The sequence below is a fragment of the Homo sapiens genome, chromosome 2 (genome assembly GCF_000001405.40).
Source record: "Homo sapiens chromosome 2, GRCh38.p14 Primary Assembly".
NCBI classification, from domain to species: Eukaryota; Metazoa; Chordata; class Mammalia; order Primates; family Hominidae; genus Homo; species Homo sapiens.
The window spans coordinates 32,004,664-32,030,210 of NC_000002.12; the positions used below are offsets into that span (position 1 = coordinate 32,004,664).

The 25,547-nt window shown below is 43.9% G+C and overlaps 2 protein-coding genes across 32 annotated transcripts in view, besides 5 other annotated features; both read right to left on the reverse strand.

Moving 5' to 3' along the window:
• MEMO1 (mediator of cell motility 1) overlaps positions 1–6,345 on the reverse strand; it is a 143,186-nt gene extending 136,841 nt beyond the window's left edge. For 9 of the 21 annotated variants that reach the window (NR_126032.3, NR_163997.2, NR_163995.2 and 6 more), the window contains exon 1: positions 5,524–6,345. Coding sequence is in view for 10 of the 21 variants with exons in the window: in NM_001371920.2 (NP_001358849.1) it covers positions 5,524–5,584 (61 nt within the window). In the remaining 11 variants the exon portion in view is untranslated. The remainder of the gene's footprint in view (positions 1–5,523) is intronic. The other 12 variants (NR_163996.2, NR_163998.2, XM_047444635.1 and 9 more) reach the window with 6 other exon arrangements.
• Positions 5,145–5,194: a silencer, noted in NCBI's record as "silent region_11333". NCBI's record gives its function as "represses an Ori minimal core promoter by ATAC-STARR-seq in GM12878 lymphoblastoid cells {active_cell/tissue: GM12878}" and the evidence as "EXISTENCE:reporter gene assay evidence [ECO:0000049][PMID:35858748]".
• Positions 5,225–5,464: a silencer, noted in NCBI's record as "silent region_11334". NCBI's record gives its function as "represses an Ori minimal core promoter by ATAC-STARR-seq in GM12878 lymphoblastoid cells {active_cell/tissue: GM12878}" and the evidence as "EXISTENCE:reporter gene assay evidence [ECO:0000049][PMID:35858748]".
• Positions 5,665–5,964: a silencer, noted in NCBI's record as "silent region_11335". NCBI's record gives its function as "represses an Ori minimal core promoter by ATAC-STARR-seq in GM12878 lymphoblastoid cells {active_cell/tissue: GM12878}" and the evidence as "EXISTENCE:reporter gene assay evidence [ECO:0000049][PMID:35858748]".
• Positions 6,005–6,294: a silencer, noted in NCBI's record as "silent region_11336". NCBI's record gives its function as "represses an Ori minimal core promoter by ATAC-STARR-seq in GM12878 lymphoblastoid cells {active_cell/tissue: GM12878}" and the evidence as "EXISTENCE:reporter gene assay evidence [ECO:0000049][PMID:35858748]".
• Positions 6,280–6,439: a silencer, noted in NCBI's record as "fragment chr2:32236012-32236171 (GRCh37/hg19 assembly coordinates)". NCBI's record gives its function as "represses an EF-1alpha promoter that drives an FKBP-Casp9 reporter gene in an ReSE screen in HepG2 liver carcinoma cells {active_cell/tissue: HepG2}" and the evidence as "EXISTENCE:reporter gene assay evidence [ECO:0000049][PMID:32094911]".
• DPY30 (dpy-30 histone methyltransferase complex regulatory subunit) overlaps positions 6,986–25,547 on the reverse strand; it is a 28,187-nt gene continuing 9,625 nt past the window's right edge. For 2 of the 11 annotated variants that reach the window (XM_047446037.1, XM_011533133.3), the window contains exons 4-7: positions 24,931–25,073; positions 19,014–19,145; positions 18,759–18,811; positions 6,986–7,389 (exon numbers count right to left, since the gene is read on the reverse strand). In XM_047446037.1, coding sequence (XP_047301993.1) covers positions 18,808–18,811; positions 19,014–19,145; positions 24,931–25,073 — 279 coding nt within the window. In that variant the 3' untranslated portion in view covers positions 6,986–7,389; positions 18,759–18,807. Of the gene's footprint in view, positions 9,318–15,254; positions 16,437–18,758; positions 18,812–18,959; positions 19,146–19,228; positions 19,594–24,930; positions 25,074–25,547 lie in introns of those variants that run through there. The other 9 variants (NM_001321209.2, NM_032574.4, XM_047446038.1 and 6 more) reach the window with 8 other exon arrangements.

Here is a 25,547-nt window from a genome sequence, read left to right on the forward strand (position 1 = left end):
TGTAATCCCAGTACTTTGGGAGGCTGAGGGAGGGGCACAAATCACCTGAGGTCAGGAGTTCAAGACCAACCTGGACAACATGGTGAAACCCCATCTCTACTAAAAATACAAAAATTATCCGGGTGTGGTGGTGCATACCTGTAATCCCAGCTACTCGGGATGCTGAGGCAGGAGAACTGCTTGAACCCGGGAGGCAGAGGTTGCAGTGAGCTGAGATCGCACCACTGCACTCCAGCCTGGGCAACACAGTTAGACCCCGTTTCAAAAAAAAAAAAAAACTTACCATTTGCATAGACCATGATCTAATCACTCCACCCTAAGGCATATATCCATCAAAAATCACATATACATTGACCAAAAAAAGGTATAAAAGTGTTCACAGCAGCAAAACTAAAAAACCCACATGTCCATCAACAGAATAAACTGGAATTGTCACGCAACAGAATGAACAAAGTACAATACAACATGTATTAATCTTACAAATGTAACACCGAGCAAAAGCTCAAAGGAGCCAGGTGCAGTGGCTCACACCTATAATCCCAACACTTAAGGAGGCTGAAGGAGGAAGACTGCTTGAGCCCAGGAAGTTGAGGCTGCAGTGAGCTATGATCGAGCCACGGCACTCTAGCCTGGGTGACAGAGAGACTCTGTCACCAAAAAAAAAAAAAAAAAAGAAGCTCAAAGAATACATACTATATAATTCCACTGATAAAGAATTGGAAAACAGACAAAATTTTTCTGTTCTTAAAATACAAGGAACATGGAATGGGGAGAGGGGCATTTGGTGGGAATTCCAGTACTGATGTGTTTCTTGAGTTGAATACTCATTATGTGAATGTACTTAATTCATCTAGCTGAACTTGTTTAAAGTATGTCATACTTTAAAAATCTTACACTCCCTGGATCCCTAACTGGCAGAACAGGATTGGTAATCCCTTCCTACCACCAAGATGCTTCATCTATACCATGATCAGAGACTTGAATGGCAGCAGTCTCATATCAGCCCCACCGCTCTTCAGAATGTAAACATTTGTATCCCTGTCCATATATGCTACCAATACTTCCCACTTGCTAATTATACGCCTACTATATGCCAAGCACTTTAACATTCAGTTAAATACTTATTGAGCATCTACTATGTACAAAACCTATGCTGAGTACTTAGGGTACAAAAAAATGAGTAAGACATGGTACCTGGCTTACCTCATATACAGGTAACATCAAAAACCACATTGGGGAGGCAAAGCACCAGGGTAGGTTTCTTGGAGGTGTTAACACTTGAGTCTTCAAAAGAGGAGTAGGAATTATCCCAACAAAGAATATTTCAACAGAGGGACCAGTTTGTGCAAGAGCACAGTGATAAGAAACAGCATGATGTATTTAAAGAAACAATGAACAACTATTAGATGTCACTTAAGGAGGGTAAAACCAAAACTGGGTTGGGGTAGGGGAAAGCGGTCATAGAGATAGGAAGATGGCAAGTTATGAGGGGACTTAGACCTTAACCAAGAGGCAAGATAGATCAGTGAGGAAATGATCAAAGGAATGATTTGGCCAACATACTATTCAGGCAGCAGTACAGAAGATGGATTTAAAGGGATAGGACTGGCAGAAGGAAGTCCAATTCGGAGACAGTTGTAATTATTCTGACAGAAGATGATAAGGGCCTAAAATAATGGGATGAAAGCGGTAGCAAATCTGGAGAAAACAGACTACATTTAGATTATGTTGCTGGTCCAGAGATCAAACTTTGACAACCACTAACCTACACTGGCTAGGGTTTGGCAAATTTTTTCTATGAAGAGCCAAAGAGTAAATATTTCAGACTTTGTGTGTCAAATACAGTCTCTACAGCATTTCATGTTTTTGTTTGTTTTTTAAACAACCCATTAAATATTAACAACCATTCTTAGCTACTGGACCTTACCAAAAAAAAAAAAAAAGGGCTGCAGCTACATTTGCAGTATGGGCCACAGTTAGTTTGCTGATACCTGCTGCACACACATAAAGAAGTGAGAATGGGCTGGGTGTGGTGGCTCACGCCTGTAATCCCAGCACTTTGGGAGGCCGAGGCAGGCAGATCACGAGGTCAGGAGTTCAAGACCAGCCTGGCCAATATGGTGAAACCCCATCTCTACTAAAAATACAAAAATTAGCCAGGCATGGTGGCGGGGGCCTGCAGTCTCAGCTACTCAGGAGGCTGAGGCAGAGGGATCTCTTGAACCCAGGAGGTGGAGGCTGCAGTGAGCCAAGATCGTGCCATTGCACTCCACCCTGGGCAACACAGCAAGATTCCATCTCAAAAAAAAAAAAAAAAAAAAAAAGAAGTGAGAATGAATCATCCTATGAGATTAAATTTCCTAAAATGCTATTTGCATCATATTAGTCCCCTACTAAGAAACCTCCATTGGTCCTCACTCTCAACTGAGTAAGTCCAGTCCCAATGATGCCTAGCATTCATAGGCATCTGTACTCTAGGACCAGCCTACTACTCCAGGCTCATGAACTATGCCCCTGTGTACCTTCCATTCTTATTAAATTGAACTATTTACATTTACCTGCCTCTGTATCTGTGTGGGGTTTCCCAATCCAATGTTCCTTCCTCCCTGCTCCAAACCTGTTCAAATACTCTTCCTTCAAAGCATAATTCAAATCCTACCCCAAAATGATTCTACCCTCCTCAGTAGTCCTAAAAGCACATCTCAACTTACTTGATATTTATTTGCTGCCCTAAAAGTTCTTACTTACTTCAAATAAACTGAAAATTCCTTGAGGGCAAGAAAAAATTTGTTACTCTCTATAAATGGATCTAGCATATAACAAGGGATAAACAAAAAGAAGATATATGTGTGTGTATATATGTAATATTTATATATGTACACACACTTTTTTTCTGAAATAGCTATATAACTAAAGCAAATGTGTTTTCACCCTTATTTATGTCGGTAATTAAACACATTAATTCTACGGACGCAACTTGAATGCTGTAGGAACCACAGAATGACAATCCACAAACACCTCTCCATCTCCTATTACTCACACTTTTTTAGGACTAATATGCTAGAGAAATAACACAATACAAGTCCAATTTTTCCAAAGGTCAATGTTATCAATGTAGGTACACTGACAAATATTAAAGACAGGTGTTACTAAACCCAGTCGAAGTTTACTTATCTGTAGTTGCACTTCATTTATTTTTAAAATACAAAATAAGCTTTTACAATTGAATTGCTTTAAATCTACCCTCAATTATTACTCAAGTTTAAAAAGTCCCACACTGACTCCCCCAAAAATTGTCACATATCTGGCCTTAATTTTAAGGTTCTCTGTGACAATGCACATTACCAAAAATGGCATTATTGATTTCACTCAGAATTTAGGGAAATAAGAATATACTTAGAATTTTTCAGAGAATAGTCCTCTTTAGTTCACTGTTGATAAATAACAATAATCACAGAATGTTTTGAGCTGGATTAACGAATTCATCTTAGAATACCAAAGAAGTCTTTCCAAATCCAAGTGTAAGCTATGTCATATAAGATTATCCAAAGAATGTTCAAGAATCTATAGAAATTCCTCCAGAATCACTTGCCCACATTCCAATGCAAACTACAACGAAAGTTTAAAACATTGAACTTCTGGCCTGGCACAGTGGCTCACGCCGGTAATCCCAGGACTTTGGGAGGCCCAGGCGGGAGGATCACGAAGTCGGGAGTTAGAGACCAGCATGGCCAACATGGTGAAACCTGTCTCTACTAAAAATACAAAAAATTAGCTGGGCGTGGTGGCGCGCGCCTGTAATCTCAGCTACTCAGGAGGCTGAAGCAGGAGAATCGCTTGAACCCAGGAGGCGGAGGTTGCAATGAGTCAAGATCGAGCCATTGCACTCCAGCCTGGGCGACAGAGCAAGACTCCGTCTAGAGAGGAAAAAAAAAACCACTTCTCTACATGTTTCCCCATAAGCTGAACAAGAATAATTTAACTGGCATTCTCAGGCTCTGAGGAAGATTAAATGTTTATGAAGTACTTTAGGACCATGAATGGAAGCCACTTTAACCATAAAATGTCATATTTGCTTAATGCAAAACTATAGCTACCTGTTAGCTATAGCTGCAAATCCAATCCTCACAATTCTTTTGTGTCTCCCTAACACAGAAAATCTTCAGTGAGTCATGTATTTCAGTAAGGTACATGTATTTAATGAGCTAGTTTAGCAACCTCAGAGAAATGAATTTTCTTCCAAATCTTTGCTTTCTCACAGGCCATGTCACTCTCCAAGCCAATTCTTTGCAAAAGGAAACATGATCCGATTCACCTCGAGAAGTTAGGTCTAGTTATTGACAAGCCAATACCAAATGACTGAAGACTATGAGGAATCACAGTAGAACTGTCTTTGTTAACATACCAGAAATGTGACTCCTGAAAATAATCCCAGAAAACAGGCATTCTAACAAGCACTTTATTAAAGGGAAAGTCCCTACACTTTCACATAAAGAAGTCTAAAATGCTTTTAGACAGTGGAGACAGAAAACTCAACTCGCTCAAAGCTTAAACTTAATTCGTTAGGTAGTTCCAGCACCTGCCTGGTGTAGGGCGACCAGTGACTGGGGCGACTGCTCGGGAAAAGTGCTGATGCCATATCCAGCTGCCCCTTTCGTGAATGACAGTAACAATGCAAACACTGACAGAAGAGCTGGGAGCCCCCCCACCCCCAAGCCCCTAGCTTAGCAGTACTTCCACCCCAGCCCCAACATACAAAGTGACAAATCCCTGAAAGGCCCTCCTCTGACAGATCTCCCCATGCAGAGACCTCGTCTGTAGTCTGGTAACGTAAAAAAGTGCTACCCTTCACTCCCTGCAAGACAGCGGAGCCCCTTAAAGGTGCGGGGAAACGCTGCCTCCTTCTCCAGCACCAGAGGCACGGGGCGAGAAGACTTCCTCTCCGGCTGCGGGCGCGGGGGCTCGGGGGCAGACCGAGAGAACTCCCTCTGGGCGAGGGCACTCCCCGGACCGCCAGCGGGGAGGGCAGGGAAGACGGGAGAGGAAAGGAAAGGGTCCCTGGCTCGGCAAGAGGGCGGAGGGTCGCTGCCCTGCGGCGTGGAGAAGCGGGGCTCGGCGCCGGGCACACCGTCCTTCCCGGGGGTGGCAGCGGCCGGCCGCACGCTTCCTGCAAGCCAGAGGCGGCGACAAGTCGGCTGGGGTCCGGGAGCACGTTCCTTCCTCGAGCCTGGTCCTGAGGGAGGGCGCAGGCTGCCGAGGCGGCAACTCTCCCTCTCGCCCAACTCCGGAGAGCGTGAGGCCGGCCGGCCCCGGGCTGCCGGCGCGGGATGCCCGCCGCCCGGGTGGGGGAGGCGGCGAGGCCGGCCTCGGCTCGCTCCCTCCCCACGCGGTCCGCGCCCGGCGGCCCGTCCGCGCCCTCTTCCCCGCCCGCCGCCGCCGCGGGGCCGGGCCGCCGACCTCGGCCGGCCGGGCGTGGGGCCAGGCGGCGACGGCGGCGGGCGGGCCGGCGGCCTGGGGCCCTACCTGAGGCTGTGTACCAGCTCCCGGCGTGACTGGCTTCTCGGCAGACCACTCGGTTGGACATCTTGGTGCCTGTGCCGCCTATGGTGCACGAGGATGAATGAGGAGGCGGCGGCGGCGGCGGCAGGAGCGGCTCCGCGAGGGGACGAGACACCGCGGGCCCAGCCCAGGAGGAGGCGGCAGCGGGGAGGGGATCAGCCCGGCCCAGGAGGAGGAGGAAGAGGAGGAGGCGGCGGCCCAGGAGGAGGAGATGGCAGCCGGGGCGGTGGCGGCGGCAGCAACAATCACCACAAACTCCGGCGACCGCCGGAAGATGGGGCCCACGGCGGCCTCACCGAAGCCCGGAAAGCCCTGGCCCCGGCCCCCGGCGTCCCCGCTGCTGCCCAGCCGGGGCTGGTTCCGCCGAGCCGCCCCCACGGCCCCCTCCCCTCCCAGCTGGCCTCCCCGAGCCACCGCGAGTGACCCCACCCCCGTGACTCCGCGCCCGCCCCCGCCCCCCACCCCCCGCGGGGCTCCCCGCACCCACCCCCACCCCCGGCAGGGCCCTCCAGCCCGGCCGCCCGCCGCCGGCCCCGCCCCGCTCCTCCTCCCGGCCGCGCGGCGAGGTTAACGGCGGAAACCGGACAGGCCTGACGGCATCTGGGGTCGGGCAGCCCCGCGAGGAGGCAGTGGCGGCTGCAGCTACGCGCACACAAAAGCCCAGGGCCGGGGCCTGAACCGGGGAAGGCAGACCCGGAGAAGAGCCAACGCTTCCTTACTCGCCACTCTAACGGGTCCTGCCCACTGAGCATGCCCAGCACCGCTGCCTACCCGCCGAGGAATCTCAACGTGCACGCTCCGCTCTCCGGGGTTTAGCGGCAGCAGAGGCTGGGAGGTGGGGGCAGGGCGCGGGGAGCAGGACGCAGCCGCAAGGCAAGCCCCCTCCCCCAGCCAACTTCCTCAAATGGAGAGCACCTAGGGCTCGCGGATGCGGCTTTCCACGAGGACAGTCCCGCGGGTATCCATCATATACAGGCATCTCTCATCGATTTGCACCCCCAAGGTCTCATTCCTAGGGTGGCACGCCGGGAAGTTCATCTGTAGAAGCAGGCGCGTGGTAAAGTGTGCCTGTGGTCATGCAAATACTAGTTTTTGCTTCACAGGGTCACTCTTACCACCTAATGGTGGCTTTGACACTGTAACCATTTATCTTGTTTCATGTTGTATTTATGTAGGTGTATGTCATATCTCCCTAACTAAGGTGTTTGATATAACTAGCCTCGTTATCCTCAGCTGTAAAATGGGGACACTCAAGGAGTGTACCTACGATTATAAGAGCTGTTGAATGTGAACAGCCTGACAGGGTAAGCCTACAACAAATATTATTTTCACCTTTGTCATCTTATAAATCCCAGTATTCCACATAAATGTCAGGAACAAATAATTTTTTTACAATTGTATAAGAATCACAGCAAAGGAGGCTATCTTGGACCTCTGAGGAAGTGTTATTGTTACAAAGTACACCATTGCAAAAGTAGGAATAGAGGAAGAGAAAGTTGCATACATCCAATGAAAGTTTTGGGGCAAACACTATAAAATGTTTGTAACTGCATGGGCATGGTACCTCCTGCCTATAATCCCAGCACTTTGGGGGCCTGAGGCAGTAGGACTGCCTGAGGCCAGGAGTTCTAGACCAGCCTGGGGAACATAGGAGACCCTGTTTCTATGAATTTTTTATTTTTTAATTATCCGGGCGTGGTGGCTTCGCCTGTGGTCCTAGCTACTTGGTAGGCGGAGGCGGGAGGATCACTTGAGCCCAGGAGGTCGAGGCTACAGTGAGCCATGATCACGCCACTGCATTCCAACCTGGGCAACGTACGTAGCAAGACCCTGTCTCAAAAAAGAAAAGAAAAAAAATTATATCTGAGTTTCATACTAAACAAGCCCCTGACAGATTCCAGAGTAGATGACTGGCTGTCTAGTATTCAAGTTTACTTTTAAAAGTGCTATTCTGTTTCCTCTCCTCCTCCCACCTTCTCCAACTTCAGGGCCCAAGGATTTTGTGCAGTATCCCTGTCCTAAAGCCTAGTCAATTACTGGAACACTTCTGACTCTCATACCTTTTTCTAATTAGGCTAAAATCTCCACTGTATATTTGTTTACTCAAATTTTACCCTCTCCACCAACTTGCACAAAACATAATATGCAACAAAAAAAAAATGGACATACCATGTATCCAAAACCTCTCTCTTTTTTCTTTTTTTTTTTTTTTTTTTTTTTTTTTTTGAGACAGAGTCTTGCTCTGTCACCCAGGCTGGAGTGCAGTGGCTCGATCTGGGCTCGCTGCAACCTCCGCCTCCCGAGTTCAAGTGATTCTCTTGCCTCAGCCTCCAGAGTAGCTGGGATCATGGGTGCCCACCACCATCCACCATGCCCAGCTAATTTTTGTATTTTTAGTAGAGACAGGGTTTCACCATGTTGGCCAGGGTGGTCTTGAACTCCTAACCTCAGGTGATCCACCGGCCTCGGCCTCCCAAAGTGCTGGGATTACAGGCATGAGCCATCGCACCCAGGCCAAAGCTACTTTAGAGGTAACAGAAAAAAGAAGGCTTGAGCTCTGATTACATGGTACTGTTCTGACAGTACCAAAACTCAGTGATCATTGATAAAATGGTAAAGTTTTGTTGTAAGTTGCAAGAAAAGGAAACTGCCCTAAGTGTTTATATGATGATGGTTCTTATGGTTATTTATTGCTGATTTTGTTTCTATGGAAAAGAGGTGTGGGGTGTTGTGGGGTGGTGGAGAGGGGATTGGATACAATTAAACAAAGAAAGCTTAGTATTTCAGGCCCTTCAAATTAGAAAGTCAGATTTGAGTCCTGGCCCTGTCACTCATCAGCTGTGTGACCATGGACATCTAGTAATTTAACCTTTTCTAGCCTCAGTGTTATCTGTCAAATGCAAACAGGAGTAATAGCTAACTCATATGCTTGCTGTGAGAATTATTAAGGTATGTTAAAATGCTTCATAAGCTGTTCTTTATAAATATTTGTTCTTATTATTATCCTCTACTCCTAGCAACAATCGTAAGTCTCATTCCAAACTAGTAATCTAATTTAAAATTCAGCTTTCTCCCTATTAAAATGCTCTACTGAAATTTTCTTGCTGGTCAAACTGAATAAAGATCACAATGCAATTGAACTGAAAGGTTAGCAGATAATTATGTTATCTCTAGGATGCTCTCAATACGTGCCACAATTATTCCCCCTGTCCACCTTATTCTAGCTACCTTACTCAAGTATACCCTTGAAAGAGGTTGAAACTATTCATTTATTCACCTCCCCTAAATTAAGGAAAATTCATATAATGCAAAATACTTTGTATTTTAGGAGAAGCTTATCTGGCAATACTGTACAATTTTCATGTTATTATCAATAATTTCCATTATATCCACTAGTGATTTTGGTTTGACACTGCATAAGCATTATTCATAGTAGGGAGCAAGGAGGAAACTTTTATTAACAGACAATCCTTATGAAGCTCAGACTTCAAGAAATAAGAAGGCAGGCCGGGCGCGGTGGCTCCTGCCTGTAATCCCAGCACTTTGGGAGGCCAAGGCGGGCGGATCACGTGGCCAAGAGTTTGAGACCAGCCTGGCCAAAAGGGCAAAACCCCATCTCCACTAAAAATACAAAAATTAGCCAGGCGTGGTGGCAGGTGCCTGTAATCCCAGCAACTCGGGAGGCTGAGGCAGGAGAATCGCTTGAACCTGGGAGGCAGAGGTTGCTGTGAGCCGAGATCATGCCATTGCACTCCAGCCTAGGTGACAAGAGCAAGACTCTGAGAAAGAAAGAAAGAGAGAAAGAGAGAGACAGAGAGGGAGGGAGGGGAGGGAGGAAGGGAAGGGAAGGAAGGCAGCATGTCCAATATTTACTGCAGCATTCAGTAGTAGCAAACAACTAGAAACAACCACAATGTCCACCAATGTGAAACTTGTTAAACTAGGATATACATACGCACCCATTAAAAAGAATGAAGTGGCTGGGCACAGTGGCTCATGCCTGTAATCCCAGCACTTTGGAAGGCTGAGGCAGGAGGATCACTTGAGGCCAGGAGTTCGAGACCAGCCTGGACAACATAGCAAGACAAAAAAAAGCTAAAAATAAATTTTAAAACTTTGCCAGGCACAGTGGCACACACCTATGGCCTCAGGTACTTGGGAGGCTGAAGTGGGAAAGATTGCTTTAGCCCAGGAGTTTGAGACTGCAATGAGCTATGATCACACCACTGCACTCCAGGCTGGGCAACACAGTGAGATCCCATCTTTTTTTTTTTTTTTTGAGACGGAGTCTCGCTCTGTTGCCCAGGCTGGAGTGCAGTGGTGCGGTCTCGGCTCACTGCAAGCTCCGCCTCCCGGGTTCATGCCATTCTCCTGCCTCAGCCTCCCGCGTAGCTGGGACTACAGGCGCCCACCACCACGCCCGGCTAATTTTTTGTATTTTTAGTAGAGATGGGGTTTCACCATGTTAGCCAGGATGGTTTCGATCTCCTGACCTCGTGATCTGCCCGCCTCGGCCTCCCAAAATGCTGAGATTACAGGTGTGAGCCACCACGCCTGGCCGAGACCCCATCTTTAAAAAAAAAAAGAAGAATGAAATGGCACTATATACTAGTATGGAAAGAGTTTCAAAAAAGTGAAAAAAGCAAATTACAGAATGTATAAAGTATGCTTCCATTTGTATAGAAATGAATAATTGTATTTTCATATACTTGCATATGCATGGAATACTTCTAGAAGGTAATCACTTCTAGAAGTAACTGGGTGGCTGAGGTGGAAGGATGGAAAAAGGATTTAACCTTTCCAATGTATATCTTTGCATATCTTTTGTATTTTGTGCCATATACATATACTACATACCAAACAAAAAAAAAAACCTCTATTTTTCCATCTTTAGGCTTGATTTTGAATCTACACAGCAATATTAAACTGACCATTTTTAGATTCTACTTATCCACAACTAACAGCTTTAGAAGCACCCTAACACTGAAAGCCCTATAGATCAGAAAAATATTTTACAATAGTAACACAGCATTTTGAACAAATCAAGAGAAGAGTTTAACACAGAGAGGGTCTTTTGATTTCAACTAAAACTAGTGTTCTAACCTAGTGTCAGTCAACTTTGCCCCTGTCTACCTTAGAAACCAAACATAATAAACAGTATTTATTAAATACTGTGTATCTGAACACTAGACTAAGTACATTAGATATTTAATAATTCCTGTAAGATAAAAATTTATTCATTTCCAATGTTTTGTAATACAATTTTTTACATAGAGCTTTTTTCCATATTTATTAATATTTAGGACTCTCAGAAATGGAACAACAGAGTCAAAAGATATAAGGAGCCAGGCACAGTGGCTCACACCTATAATCCCAAAATTTGGGGAGGCCAAGGCAGGAGGATCAGTTCAAGAGGTGAAGACCAGCCTGGGGCAACACAGCAAGATCTCATCTCTACTAAAAACAAATTAGCCTGACATAGTAGCACGCCCCTGTAGTACCGCGCCCTGTAGTACCAGCTACTCGGGAGGCTGAGGCAGGAGGATTGCTTGAGCCCAGGAGTTCAAAGCTGCAGTGACCTATGATTGTGCCACTGCAGTCAAGGCTGACAGAGCAAGACCCTGTCTAAAAAAAAAAAAAAAAAAAATACAAAGCTTTGTTAAAGACTGCCAAGGTTGATTTTGTTTTGAGACAGAGTCTTGCTCTGTTGCCCAGGGAGTGCACTGGCGCAATCTCGGCTCACTGCAGCCTCCACCGCCTCTAGGGATCCAGATCCAGCAATTCTCCTGCCTCAGCCTCCCGGGTAGCTGGGATTACAGGCACACACCACCATGCCTGGCTAATTTTTATATTTTTAGCAGAGCTGGGGTTTTTACCATATTGGCCAGGCTGGTCTCGAACTCCTGACCTCTGGTGATCTGCCTGCCTCGGCCTTGCAAGTGCTGGGATTACAAGTGTGAGCCACCGTGCCCGGCCAAAGGCTGGCAAGGTTTTTTAAAAAACAATTACTCATTACCAACTACCCCTTTTATCACTAGTGACCTATTTTCCACTATTTTATTACTTTTCTTCTTTGCTAATTTACACCCAGAGATTTTATTTTTTAATAAGTGGATTTTCTGTTATAGCCACTCACCAGTTTCATCTTTTGTGCCTCATTTTTCCAGTTTGATGATATGTCATCAGGCCTCCAATTGGTAATGCCATTTTGGAATCCAGTCCAGGAAAATACCTGGCTACAGTTTTGTATGCTCTTCCTAAAACGATTCTATCGCTTCTAACAGGAAGTTATCCATCTTAAAATCCCACTGTACCTTCTCCTAAATGACATTTAAATAAAAGTTCAATATTCTTCCTTTAGCTGCATCAGAACTAGGTAGATTGATCTCCTTCTATCCAACCCACTCTCCTCCCTTTTTTTTTCAATTCAAGGTTTCTATTTCCTCCAGGAATCTATTCCTGATTCAATCTACTGATACTCCCAACTAACCCACCCACCAACGTAATTCATGAACTCACTCTTAAGGGATACAGTAGGTTTTACTCAATCTTTGTATTTATTTACTAAACGACGTCATCATTAAATGGTCAAAGGTTAGGAACTGTTTATATGATTTCCAGTTATATATAATATATGACACCAAAATATAATAGTTTCTTTTTTGTTGTTGTTTTTTTGAGACAGAGTGTCATTCTGTCACCCAGGCTGGAGTGCAATGGCGCGATCTCGGTTCACTGCAGCCTCCGCCTCCCGGGTTCAAGCGATTCTCCTGCCTCAGCCTCCCGAGTAGCTGGGATTACAGGTGTCGACCACCACACCCGGCTAATTTTTGTATTTTTCGTAGAGACAGGGTTTCACCATGTTGGCCAGGCTGGTCTCAAACTCCTGACATCAGGTGATCCACCCACCTCGGCTTCCCAAAGTGCTGGGATTACAGGCGTGAGCCACGGCGCCCGGCCATATAGTAGTAACTTTCTAAACTGACTTCCATTTAACCAGTTTATGAGAGTTTAAGTGATGCTCTCCATTACCTCAGTAAAATACACTGAATAATGCCCATGAATAAACTGAACTCCTAAAGCTACTGGGCTCCACTCTTTAAGAAACTCTCAGCTGGGGGTGGTGGCTTATGCCTATAATCCCAGCACTTTGGGAGGCCAAGGCGGGCAGATCATCTGAGGTTAGGAGTTTGAGACCAGCCTGGCCAACATGGTGAAACCCAGTCTTTACTAAAAATACAAAAATTAGCCGGGCATGGTGGCAGGCATCTATAATCCCAGCTACTTGGGAGGCTGAGGCAGAAGAAGCTTCTACCTGGGAGGCGGAGGTTGCAGTGAGTCGAGATAGTGCCATTGCACTCCAGCCTGGGCAAGAAGACCAAAACACCATCTCAAAAAAAAAAAAAAAGAAAAAAGAAACTCTCACATTATGGCACTCTTTCTATATTTGTGTGTATGCCCAACAAGGATCAATTATGTTCTCCAACTTATTTATACCAGTTCTATTAGGTACTGCCATTACGTAATTTAATTAAACATTACATAAGCCAAAGAAATACAAATACATAACACAAAAGGTGTGCTATGGTCTGAATGCTGTGTTCCCCCCAAATTCATATGTTGAAATCCTAACCACTAAGGCGATGGCATTATGAGTGGGGGATCTTTCAGAGGTAATTCAGTCATTTTATGAATGGATTAGTGGCCTTATAAGAGACCTCAGAGATCTAGCTAGTCCATGTCCACAATGTGAAGACAAAGCTAGGAGGTGCCATCTGTGAACCAGAAAGTAGGCCCTCACTACACAACTTTAATCTTGAACTTCTCAGATTCCAGAATTGTGAGAAATAAATTGTTGTTTACAGGCCACCCAATCTATAGTATTTTGTTATAGCAGGCCAGAAGGACTAAGACACGTTTGTAGAAAAATTAGGTTGAATGTTTTAGAAAGACTCAATTAAAAAAAAACTGTCAGAGGCAGACAAGATGAGTAAAGACTGATAAAACAAATCTAGCATTCTACAAATTAATTCTTAAAGGTCTAAACCTTAAGATACTTCCAAAAAATTTGAAACTGAAATTTTTAGACCATGCATCATAGGTGTGCTTTGTGGAAGAAGGACAATACAGAATTCCATGAAAGAACTCATACCCAAAGACAAGACTAAAATCAAAAAATTACCAAATTCATATAGAATATTTTTAAGTTTAAAAAAAAATGTCAGCCAGGCACAGTGGCTCACGCCTGTAATCCCAGCACTTTGAGAGGCTTAGGCAGGTGGATCACGAGGTCAGGAGAGAAAGACCATCCTAGCTAACATGGTGAAACACCGTCTCTGCTTAAAATATAAAAAATTAGCCGGGCATGGTGACACTCACCTGTAGTCCCAGCTATTCAGGAGGCTGAGGCAGGAGAATCACTTGAACCCGGGAGGTGGAGGTTGCAGAGAGCATGCCATTGCACTCCAGCATGGGCGAGAGAGCGAGACTCCATCTCAAAAAAAAAAATGTTTACAGCTAGGCATGGTGGCTCATGCCTGTAATCTCAGCACTTTGGGAGGCAAAGGCGGGCGATTGCTTGAGCCCAGGAGTTCAAGACCAGCCTGGGCAACATGGTGAAATCCTGTCTCTATGAAAAATACAAAAAAAGCAAATTAGCCAGACATGGTGGCAAGCACCTGTAGTCCCAGCTACTCAGGAGGCTGAGGTGGGAGGATCACTTGAGCCTAGGAGGTCAAGGCTGCAGTGAGCTGAGATCATCCCACTACACTCCAACCTGGGTGATGGAGCAAGACTCTATCTCAAAAACAAACAAAAAAACTTTCTACAGTATGTATCATTTATGATTACCTACAGTGACTCACTTTTATTTATCTATTTATTTATTTTGAGACAGAGTCTCGCTCTATCACCCAGGCTGGAGTGCAGTGGCACGATCTCAGCTCATTACAACCTCTGCTTCTGGGTTCAAGCCATTCTCCAGCCTCAGCCTTCTGAGCAGCTGGGACTACAGGCACGCCCCACCGCACCCAGCTAATTGGTGACTCACTTTTTCATCTACTAGCTAGATCAGTGGGACTAGTTTTTCCATCAAAGAAAAATTTAGACACACCTGAGAGGTAATAGGGTATTAAGCTAAAATTAGCCTGGCGTGGTGGTGCATGCCTGTAGTCCTAGCTACTTAGGAGGCTAAGATGAGAGACCGGCTTGAGCCGAGGAGGCAGATTTCAGTGAGTCAAGATCATATCACTGCACTCCAGCCTGGAAAACACAGCCAGACGCTGTCTCAAAAAAATATATATATAGTATTGGCAGGGGGTGGTGGCTCACGCCTGTGAGCCACCATCCCAACACTTTGGGAGGCCGAGGCAGGTGGATTACTGGAGGTCAGGAGTTTGAGACCAGCCTGGCCAACATGGCAAAACCCGTCTCTACTAAAAATACAAAATTAGTTGGGTGTGGTGGTGTGCGCCTGTAATCCCAGCTACTAGGGAGGCTGAGGCAGGAGATTTGCTTGAACCCAGGAGGCAGAGGTTGCAGTCAGCTGAGATCAAGCCATCACACTCCAGCCTGGGCAAAAAGAGCAAAACTCCGTCTCAAAAAAAAAAAAAAAATATATATATATATATATATACACACACATATATATGTGTATATATATATGTATATGTGTGTATATATATAAACATAAACATATACATATATTTGTACATATATATGTATATGTAAAAACATATACATATATATATATAATGTTAAGATGGGTTTGAATCCCTGCCAAAAACTTAATTCCTCTGTAACCTTAAGGAAATTATTCAAATGTTTCATCTATAAATGAAGTGTTAAACTAGCCGGGCGTGGTGGTGTGTGCCTGTAGTCCCACCTGCTCAGGAGGCTGACGCAAGAAGATGACTTGAGCCCAGGAGTAAGCTATGCTCTTACCATTGGGCTCCAGCCTGGGTGACAGAGCAAGACTCCGTCTCAAAAACAAATAGGCTGGGCACAGTGGCTCTCACACCTATAATCCCAGCACCGTGGGATTATAGACAGGTAGATAGCTTGAGGCCAGGAGTTCGAGTTCAAGACTAGCCTGGTCAACACAGTGAGAACCCGTCTCTGCAAAAGCTTCAAATAAAAAAAAATTAGCCAGGCTCAGCAGTATACCTATAGTCCTAGCTACTTGGAAGGCTAAGGCAAGAAGCTCACTTGAGCTTAGGGCTTCAAGGTTGCAGTGAGCTATGACCATGCCATTGCACTCCAACCTGGGTGACAGAGCAAGACCTCATCTCTAAATAAATAAAGTATTAAAATTAAAATTAAACCTACCCCAAATTTTGAGGGGTGAGGAATATGTTTATGGCCTTGATGGTAGTTATGGTTTCAGTGATCTATAGTTATCTCCAAAGTAATCAAGTTGTATATATTAAATATATACAGCTTTTTGTTCAATTATACTCTGATAAAGTGATTTTTTAAATAAAATTAAATAGGGATAAATTTTTTAAACTTAAATCCACCTCACAGGTTCAAGGATTAAATGACAACTCACGTAAATATTTAACATGCTGCCTGGCACATAAATACTCAAGTAAGTATTATGTGGACTGGCAGGAAAAGACATTCCTTGCCAGGCACAGTGGCTCACACCTGTAATCCCAGCACTTTGGGAGGCCAAGGCAGCAGGATCTCATGAGGTCAGGGGTTTGAGACAGACCATCTGGGCAACATAGTGAGACCTCACCTCTTAAAAAAAAAAAAAAAATTGGCCGGGCACGGTGGCTCACGCCTGTAATCCTAGCACGTTGGGAGGCCGAGGCGGACAGATTGCCTGAGCTCAGGAGTTCGCAACCAGCCTGGGCAACACGGTGAAACCCCGTCTGTAAGAAAATACAAAAAATTAGCCGGGTGTGGTGGCGTGCGCCTGTAGTCCTAACTACTAGGGAGGCTGAGGCAGGAGAATTGCTTGAACCTGGGAGGCGGAGGTTGCGGTGAGCCACTGCACTCCAGCCTGGGCGACAGAGCGAGACTCCGTCTAAAAAGCTTAATAAAAAGACATTTCTATTCTCAGCCCTTACCACTAGGTCGAGTATTGAATATTTATACTTCCAAAACTAGAATATCTTCTAATCAATCCTTAACCACAGGTATCAGAATGCCTTAAAGATTTTTGTCAGGCCGGACACGGTGGCTAACACCTATAATTCCAGCACTTTGGGAGGCTGAGGCGGGTGGATCACCTGAGGTCAGGAGTTCAAGACCAGCCTGGCCAACATGGTAAAACCCTGTCTCTACTAAAACTACAAAAATTAGCCAGGTATGGTGGCACACACCTGTAATCCCAGCTACTGGGGGGTGCTGAGACAGGAGAATCGCTTGAACCCAGGAGGCGGAGGTTGCAGTGAGCTGAGATTGCGCCACTGCACTCCAGCCTGGGCAACCGAGCAAGACTCCATCTCAAAAAAAAAAAAAGCAACAACAAAAAAGGCTGTGTCCCATTGGGTCATGTTCACCAGGTGACAGCTTTAGAGGCCCGTTAACACATAAATAATACTTATATTATGTACAAAATTTGTATTTTTATATTGATTTTTATGTTTATATTGTTTATACTTATATTTGAAAAGTTCCCCCAAGTAGCTCTGATGAGAATCGTCGGTAAAGAACCACTGCTAGAAGATTATTGATCCCTTAATAAGATTACCCAATTATGGGCGTGGTGGCTCACACCCATAATCCTAGCACTTTGGGAGGCTGAGGTGGGCAGATCACCTGAGGTCAGGAATTCGAGACCAGCCTGGCCACCATAGTGAAACCCCGTCTCTACTAAAAATACAAAAATTCGCTGGGGACAGTGGCATGCACCTGTAGTCTCATCTACTCAGGAGGCTGACACAGGAGAATCACTTGAGCCTGGGAGCCAGAGGTTGCAGTGAGCCAAGATCACGCCATTGCACTCCAGCCTGAGTGACAGAGCGAGACCTTGTCTCAAAAAAAAAAAAAAAAAAATTACCCAATTACTACTCAAATGTTAAAAAATCACTAAAAAGACTTGGGTGGATTAACTTATGAGTTAGCCAAATAACCAAAATAAATTTGATAGAATACTTATGAAAACTACTATATAAGAAGATCCCAGTATGTCCAGGTTTTTCCTATTCAAATATGTAGATTTGCAGATGTAAACCAAAAACATAATACCTCCCATAAGTGTCAGTTCTACTAAAATAAGTATTTCCTGTATTAAAGAAAATTATAAGGCATACCTAATCAGCATTATGTATTTATGTATTTTTTTTTTTAATTTTTTTTCTTTTTGAGACAGTCTCACTCTGTCGCCCAGGCTGGAGTGCAGTGGCACAATCTCGGCTCACTGCAACCTCTGCCTCCCAGGTTTAAGCAAGTCTTCTGCCTGAGCCTCCCGAGTGGCTGGGACGACAGGCACATGCCACCATGCCTGGCTGATTTTTGTATTTTTAGTAGAGACAGGGTTTCACCATATTGGCCAGGCTGGTCTCGAACTCCTGACCTTGTGATCCACCTGCCTCGGCCTCCCAAAGTGCTGGGATTACAGGCGTGAGCCACCGCACCCGGCCAATCACATTAAATTTCTAACTTTGCAAAGGCCTTAACATGTTTAGCATGGAGACACACGACTTTAATAGGCTTCTAATGCAGGGTTTTTCAACTTTGGCACTGACATTTTAAGCTAGATAATTCTTGGGGAGGGAGAAGATGGGCATACAGGCTATCCTATTCATTGTTAAGATGTTTCAGCAGCATCTATACCCACTAGATGCCAGTAGAACCCCACCTAGCTGGGCATGGTGGCTCATGCCTGTAATCCCAGCACTTTGGGGGGCCAAGGCAGGTGGATCACAAGGTCAGGAGTTCAAGAACCCCACCTTATTCCAGTTGTGACAACCAAAATGTGTCTAGACATCAACAAATGTTCTCTGGGGAAATGGGGGTGGGGAGAGATAATCACTCATATTTGAGAACCACTGCTCTAGTGAATGTTTTTCCTGGCTCTCTTAAGGCAGTTTCTCTATTTTCTGAGCTAGTGAGCTATCTCAATTTCTTCACAGGGGACAATGAGAATAGACCCCAAAAAGGACTGGCTGCTGCTTTTTATTGCAAAGAGAAGCAATGAAATTCAGCAACACATTGGTAGAACAGGATTTGAATTCCCAAAAACTTACCAGCAGTGTTGTCTTGAGCATGTCACTTAACCTCTCCAAGTCTGTTTCCTCATCTGCAAAATGGGAATAATAATATCTACTTTGCAGAGCTGCTTATATCAGAGATCATTTAAGTAAAAATGTACTATGCCTGAAACTTAGTAGGAATGCAATAAATTACAGCTATTACTATAAATGTTGATAACATTAGAAGATATTGTATCCCCTTTGCAATGCTTTTATTAGTACTCCAACTTTAATGTACATTAGAATCACCTGTGATACTTGTTAAGCCATTGAAGATGCCCAGATCCCACCCTCAGAAAGGTCCAGAAACAATGCTGAGAAAAATTGGCTGAATTTTTTAAATTATACTTGACTGCTGTATTTTCTCTCTGTTGTAAAACTCTGCAGCATTTGAAGACAGAAGAAAAAGAGAAATTCATAAAACAATTCAATCATGTAAAATATTTGTCATACAGAACAAAAACTACTTTAAAATAATGGTGTTTTGACAGTTTATTTTGAAGGTCATTTTAAAAACAAAGTTAAAGACAATCTGAGAAAAAAATTGCACAGAATACACTCATTAAATAGGTATGGTTTATGGTGATTAAATCAAAATAAGGGAAATATGTTATCTTCTGCAATTCCAGAAATAGGTTCTGTTGTCCGGAAGGTTCTTATACATCCAAAAAGAGGGAATGATCATGGCAATTAAAGCTGCCTCTTAATCATGTAAATCTACAGTAGCAACTAAATTTTTCTGTTCTTCCCATTAAGTCAGTTTCGATCTTCAAACTGTGCCTTGTTTTTTAAAAGATAAGATGCTAGAAATTCAATGGGATTTGGTGGTCTGTAAGGGAAAAGAAATCCAAAGTTTAGAAATATATTTCCTAGGTGTGTTAATTTAAACATATTGTTCCATAATGAAAACTCATCTTTTTAAGTTTAATTTTCATTTCACAGTCAAAGGACATTTGTAGTAAATAAAATAAATGAGATAAGCAAGCAAATTAATTAGCCAACAAAATAGTTTAATGAGACTGAAATTTTTGTATGGCTTAAATCTGGTTATGAACTCAATTTTAAAACATGTTTAAAAAATGTATTGACAATGGGATGATCATTACCCCAGAAAGAATAATGACTTGAAGGGGTCACATGGATGGCTTCTGAGATGCTGGCAGTATTCAGTTTCTTGATCTGACTGCAAGCTACACAGGTATGTTTAGTTTGTGAAAATTCATCAAGCTGTATACCTATGATATGTGTAATATTCTGTGTAATATCCTTCAATAAAAGAACAAAAATAATATAGGACAGTGGATGTAGCATCACTAAGACATGTAGATGAACTCAAGTGATTAGTCAAAGAAGCAACACTAATACAGATAAGTAGGTTATGTTTCTTTTCTAAAAGCTACTTCTTTCTTTCTTCGAATAATTTAAGTCAATAATTCTATTTAATACAACTACAGTACACCTAAGAAGATAAACACATTTATAAAACTAACAGCAGATATTTGATATTAACACTTCTATATAAATTATTCTTGCTGAGAATACAAGTCCAAAGTTGAAAAATTGGGGAGACATCTATTTTAAACTCTGCTATGAAAAGGCATATTGAAAATATGTTTACAATGATCTCAAAACATTCCCAGAGCACTTTAAACAGCCCTAAGAGCTGTCTACAAATAGACAAGATTTTTCACTTAGTATTTAGGGTTCACATGATGAATTACTTTACCAGAACTCTTTACTTAAAAAATGTATTTGGGGCCAGGCGCAGTGGCTCATGCCTGTAATCCCAGCATTTGGGAAGCCGAGGCGGGTGGATCATGAGGTCAGGAGTTCAAGACAGTCCTGACCAACATGGTGAAACTCCATCTCTACTAAAAATACAAAAATTAGCCGGTCATGGCAGTGCGCACCTGTAATCCCAGCTACTCAGAAAGCTGAGGCAGAAGAATCACTTGAACCCGGGAGGTGGAGGTTGCAGTGAGCCGAGATCATGCCACTGTACTCCAGCCTGGGCGACAGAGCAAGATTCCGTCTCAAAAAAAAAATTGTATTTGACCGGGTACGGTGGCTCATGCCTGTAATCCTGGCACTTTAGAGGGCCAAGGCGGGCAGATCACAAGGTCAGGAGTTTGAGACCAGCCTGGCCAACATGGTGAAATCCTGTCTCCACTAAAAATACAAAAAATTAGCCGGGCGTGGTAGTGCATGCCTGTAGTCCCAGCTACTCAGGAGGATGAGGCATGAGAATCACTTTAACCCCAAAGGCAGAGGTTGCAGTGAACCAAGATCGAGCCACTGCCCTCCAGCCTGCCGCAACAGAACAAGACTCCGTCTTGGAAAGAAAAAAAAAAAAAACCGTACTTGGGCCGGGGGGAAAAAAAAAACAACACCGTACTTGGGCCGGGCACGGTGGCTCACGCTTATAATCCTCACACTTTGGGAGGCCAAGGCAGGCAGATAGCTTGAGCCCAAGGGTTCAAAATCAACCTGGCAACGTGACAAAACCCTGTCTCTACAGAAAATACAAAAAATCAGCCAGGCGTGGTGGCGCACACCTGTAGTCACAGCTACTCAGGAGGTTAGGTGGAAAAATCACTTGAGCCTGGGAGTTCGAGGCTTCAGTAAGCCATGATTGCCCCCACTGTATTCCAGCTGGGGCAACAGAGCAAGACTCCATGTCAAAAAAAAAAATTTGTGTTTTAACAAAAAATATATTTACTGGCCAGTTGCAGTGGCTCATGCCTGTAATCCCAGGACTTTGGGAGTCCAAGGAGGATCACTTCCAAGCCTGGGCAACATAGTAAGACCCCAACTCTTCAAAAAAGTTTAAAAATTAGCCTGGCATAGTGGCACACGCCTGTAGTCCCACCTACTCAGAAGGCTGAGGTGAGAGGATTGCTTAAGCCCAGAAGGCTGAAGCTGCGGTGAGTGGTGATCTTGCCACTGCACTCCAGCCTGGATGACAGAGCGAGAACTTGTCTCAAAAAAATTAACAATAAAAAAAATTTTTTAAATGTATTTACGAGCTTGAACTTAAAAATTTCTTCAAAAGTTTTTCTAGCATTTAAAGTAATATTTGGAGGCCGAGTGTAATGGCTCATGCCTGTAATCCCAACACTTCAGGAGGCCGAGGCAGGCAGATCACCTGAAATCAGGAGTTCCAGACCAGCCTAATCAACATGGTAAAACCACATCTCTACTAAAAATACAAAAATTAGCCAGGCACGATGGCAGGCGCCTGTAGTTCCAGCTACTCCAGAGGCTGAGGCAGAATTTCTTGAACCAGGGAGGCGGAGGTTGCAGTGAGCTGACATCGTGCCACTGCACTCCACTCTGAGCAACATAGCATCCAGCCTGGGCAACACAGCAAAACTCCGTCTCAAAAAATAAATAAATAAATAAATACAGTAATATTTTAAATTTCTAATATATTAGTCTTCCCTAGAGGAAAAACAAAAAAATAGAAAAGATATCCATATTTTTTTCCTTTTTTCCCTTTTTTTTTTTTTTAAGACTACTCAAGTGCAATAGTGAGAAGGGCGAAAAGAGTAGAATAGGGGAATAAGGGCCAGGCACGATGGCTCACACCTATAATCCCAGCATTTTGGGAGGCCAATGAGGGCAGACCACCTGAGGTCAGGAGTTAGAGACCAGCCTGGCCAACATGGTGAAACCCCATCTCTACTGAAAATACAAAAATTAGCCACGTGTGGTGGCACACACCTGTGGTCCCAGGTATTCGGGAGGCTGAAGCAGGAAAATCATTTGAACTGGGAGTCAGAGACTGCAGTGACCTGAGACTGTGCCACTGCATTCGAGCCTGGGCAACAGAGACTCTGTCTCAAAAAAAAAAAAAAAAAAACCAGCTGGGCACAGTGGATCACCTGAGGTCAGGAGTTCAAGACCAGCCTGGCCAACATGGTGAAACCCCATCTCTACTAAAAATACAAAAATTAGCTTTGTGTGCTGACAGGCACCTGTAATCCCAGCTACTCAGGAGGCTGAGGCAAGAGAACTGCTTGAACCCAGGAGGTGGAGGTTGCAGTGACCTGAGATCATGCCACTGCATTCCAGCCCTGGGTAACAAGAACAAAACTCTGTCTCAAAAAAAAAAAAAAAAAGAGTAGAATAAGGAGCTTGATCTGTAAGACTATCAACAATCGAGTTAACTCACTACCTTCAAATCAACCAAGATACCCATTTTTTTTTTTTTTTTTTTTTGAGACGGAGTCGCTCTGTTGCCCAGGCTGGAGTGCAGTGGCGCAATCTCGGCTCACTGCAAGCTCCGCCTCCCGGGTTCACGCCATTCTCCTGCCTCAGCCTCCCGAGTAGCTGGGCCTACAGGCACCTGCCACCACGCCCAGCTAATTTTTTGTATCGTTACTAGAGACAGGGTTTCACTGCATTAGCCAGGATGGTCTCGAACTCCTGACCTCATGATCTGCCCGCCTCGGCCTCCCAAAGTGTTGGGATTACAGGCGTGAGCCACCACGCCCGGCCCAAGATACCCATATTTTAATTGTTGATAGTAGAGCCAAGATATAGCTCAGTCATAAATAAATGGTAATTTACAAATATAGCCATCAAAAACAAATATTTACTGCTCATTCATATAGTTTTTATATAAACAAATTATCTATTCTAAGTTAATAACTCACTTTTACTATAAGAAATGATATATTTCCTTTTTTTTTTTTTTTTGAGGCAGGGTCTCACTCTGTCACCCAGGCTGGAGTGCAGTGGTGCGATCACAGCTCACTGCAGCCTCAAACTCCTGGGCCCAAGCCCAAGCGATCCTCCCACCTTGGCCTCCCAAGCAGTGCGGACTAAGGCATACCCCACCACACCTGGCTGAGATGAGACATGGTTCCATCAAGTTCTTTATCAAGTTATGTCAGTTTGCTATTATAATGTTTATTATTATTCCTTGAATAAAAAAGAATATGCACCTAATAAACGTTGACTAGTCTAACTTGCAAAACCAATTTTCTTATTAGATTTGCTTACACAAAAAAGAATTTAGGTGAGAAATACTGGGGAAAACATGTTAAAGAAAGAGAAATAATTGTACTCTTGCTATTAAGAAAATTTAAGGCCAGGCTCAGTGGCTCACGCCTATAATCCCAGCACTTTGGGAGGCCGAGATGGGCGGATCACAAGGTCAAGAGATCGAGATCATTCTGGCCAACATGGTGAAACCCCATCACTACTAAAAATACAAAAACTAGCCGGGCATGGTGGTGGGTGCCTGAGCTGCTCAGGAAGCTAAGGCAGAATCTCTTGAACTCATGAGGTGGAGGTTGCAGTGAGCCAAGATCATGCCACTGCACTCCAGCCTGGCGACAGAGCGAGACTCCAAACCCTGTTTCTACTAAAAATACAATAATCAGCCAGGCGTGGTGGCAGGTGCCTGTAATCCCAGCTACTCGGTAGACTGAGGTAGGAGAATCGCTTGAACCCGGTGAGGTGGAGGTTGCAGTGAGCCAGGGTTGCACCACTGCACTCCAGCCAGGGAGACATAGCAAGACTCTGTCTCAAAAAAAAATAAGAATAATAATAATAGGCCGGGCGCAGTGGCTCATGCCTGTAATCCCAGAACTTTGGAAGGCTGAGGCGGGCAGATCACTTGAGGTTAGGAGTTCAAGACCAGCCTGGCCAACATGGTGAAAACCCTTCTTTACTAAAAATACAAAAATTAGCCGGGCGTAGTGGCCCACGCCTGTAGTCCCAGCTACCCGGGAGGCTGAGACACAAGAATCACTTGAAACCAGGAGGTAGAGGTTGCAGTGAACGAGATCATACCACCGTCCTCCAGCCTGGGCAACAGAGCTAGATTCTGTTTCAAAATAACAATAATAATAATAAATTATAATCATGAAGACTGTGGAGAGATACAGAAAAATGTTATGTCATAATAAATAAAAAGAAAAATCAAAATTACATGTATATCATGATTACAAATCTTTACAAATATGCATATGATCTAAGACTGGTGGGAAAAAATTTAAATGTCTGAATTATGAGATTATGGCTGAATACTTTCTTAAAAACTTTAACATCCATAAATCACACAGTAAAAAGTCGCTATACATAACTATGATATTTCAGATAGGGGAATCTATTTTGCTTTCTTTACTAACTCCATTTGTGGACACAATTATCTTACCTTTCCTTTGCAAGCACAGCAAGTCCCTGTAATAAGATAGGCACAACTGTCTGATCCAGGTAGGCACGAGTTGGCAAAGACTGGAGATCTACCTTCTGCTTTGATGACTTTTCTGCATTAATCTTCTCATTTTCTACTATTCTCTAGTGAATTCAAAAAAACAGTGCATGAACATTTCAAATAACCAGGTTATTTTGAGTGCTAAACAAAACTAATGGAAATATGACACTAATAGAAAAGGCAAATCAATGACTAGAAAGATGGTACTAGACCACAAACTTCTCTGCCCAAAATAAATTCAGACCCATCTTTCAATCTCATTCAAGCTCTCTCTCTCCAAAAGCACCTATTATCTCATTGTTCTAATGTCATGTCTCAAGATCCTACTCTTTCTCCCTTTCCTTCTGACTTTGCAGGAGTAAATACAAATCCTTTTTCTCTTTTTCATGTATCTTCTTAGAGTGTGTTCCCAAAAAAAAAAAAAAAAAATAATGAATGTAACACCAAACAGCACCAAATCATAGTAAGAAAGCTGGTCACATCAGAGAGAGCAAGCTTCAGGGTCCAAGGCTTATACACTCAAGAGAATACAGCTAAAATTTATTACCATTGTCTTG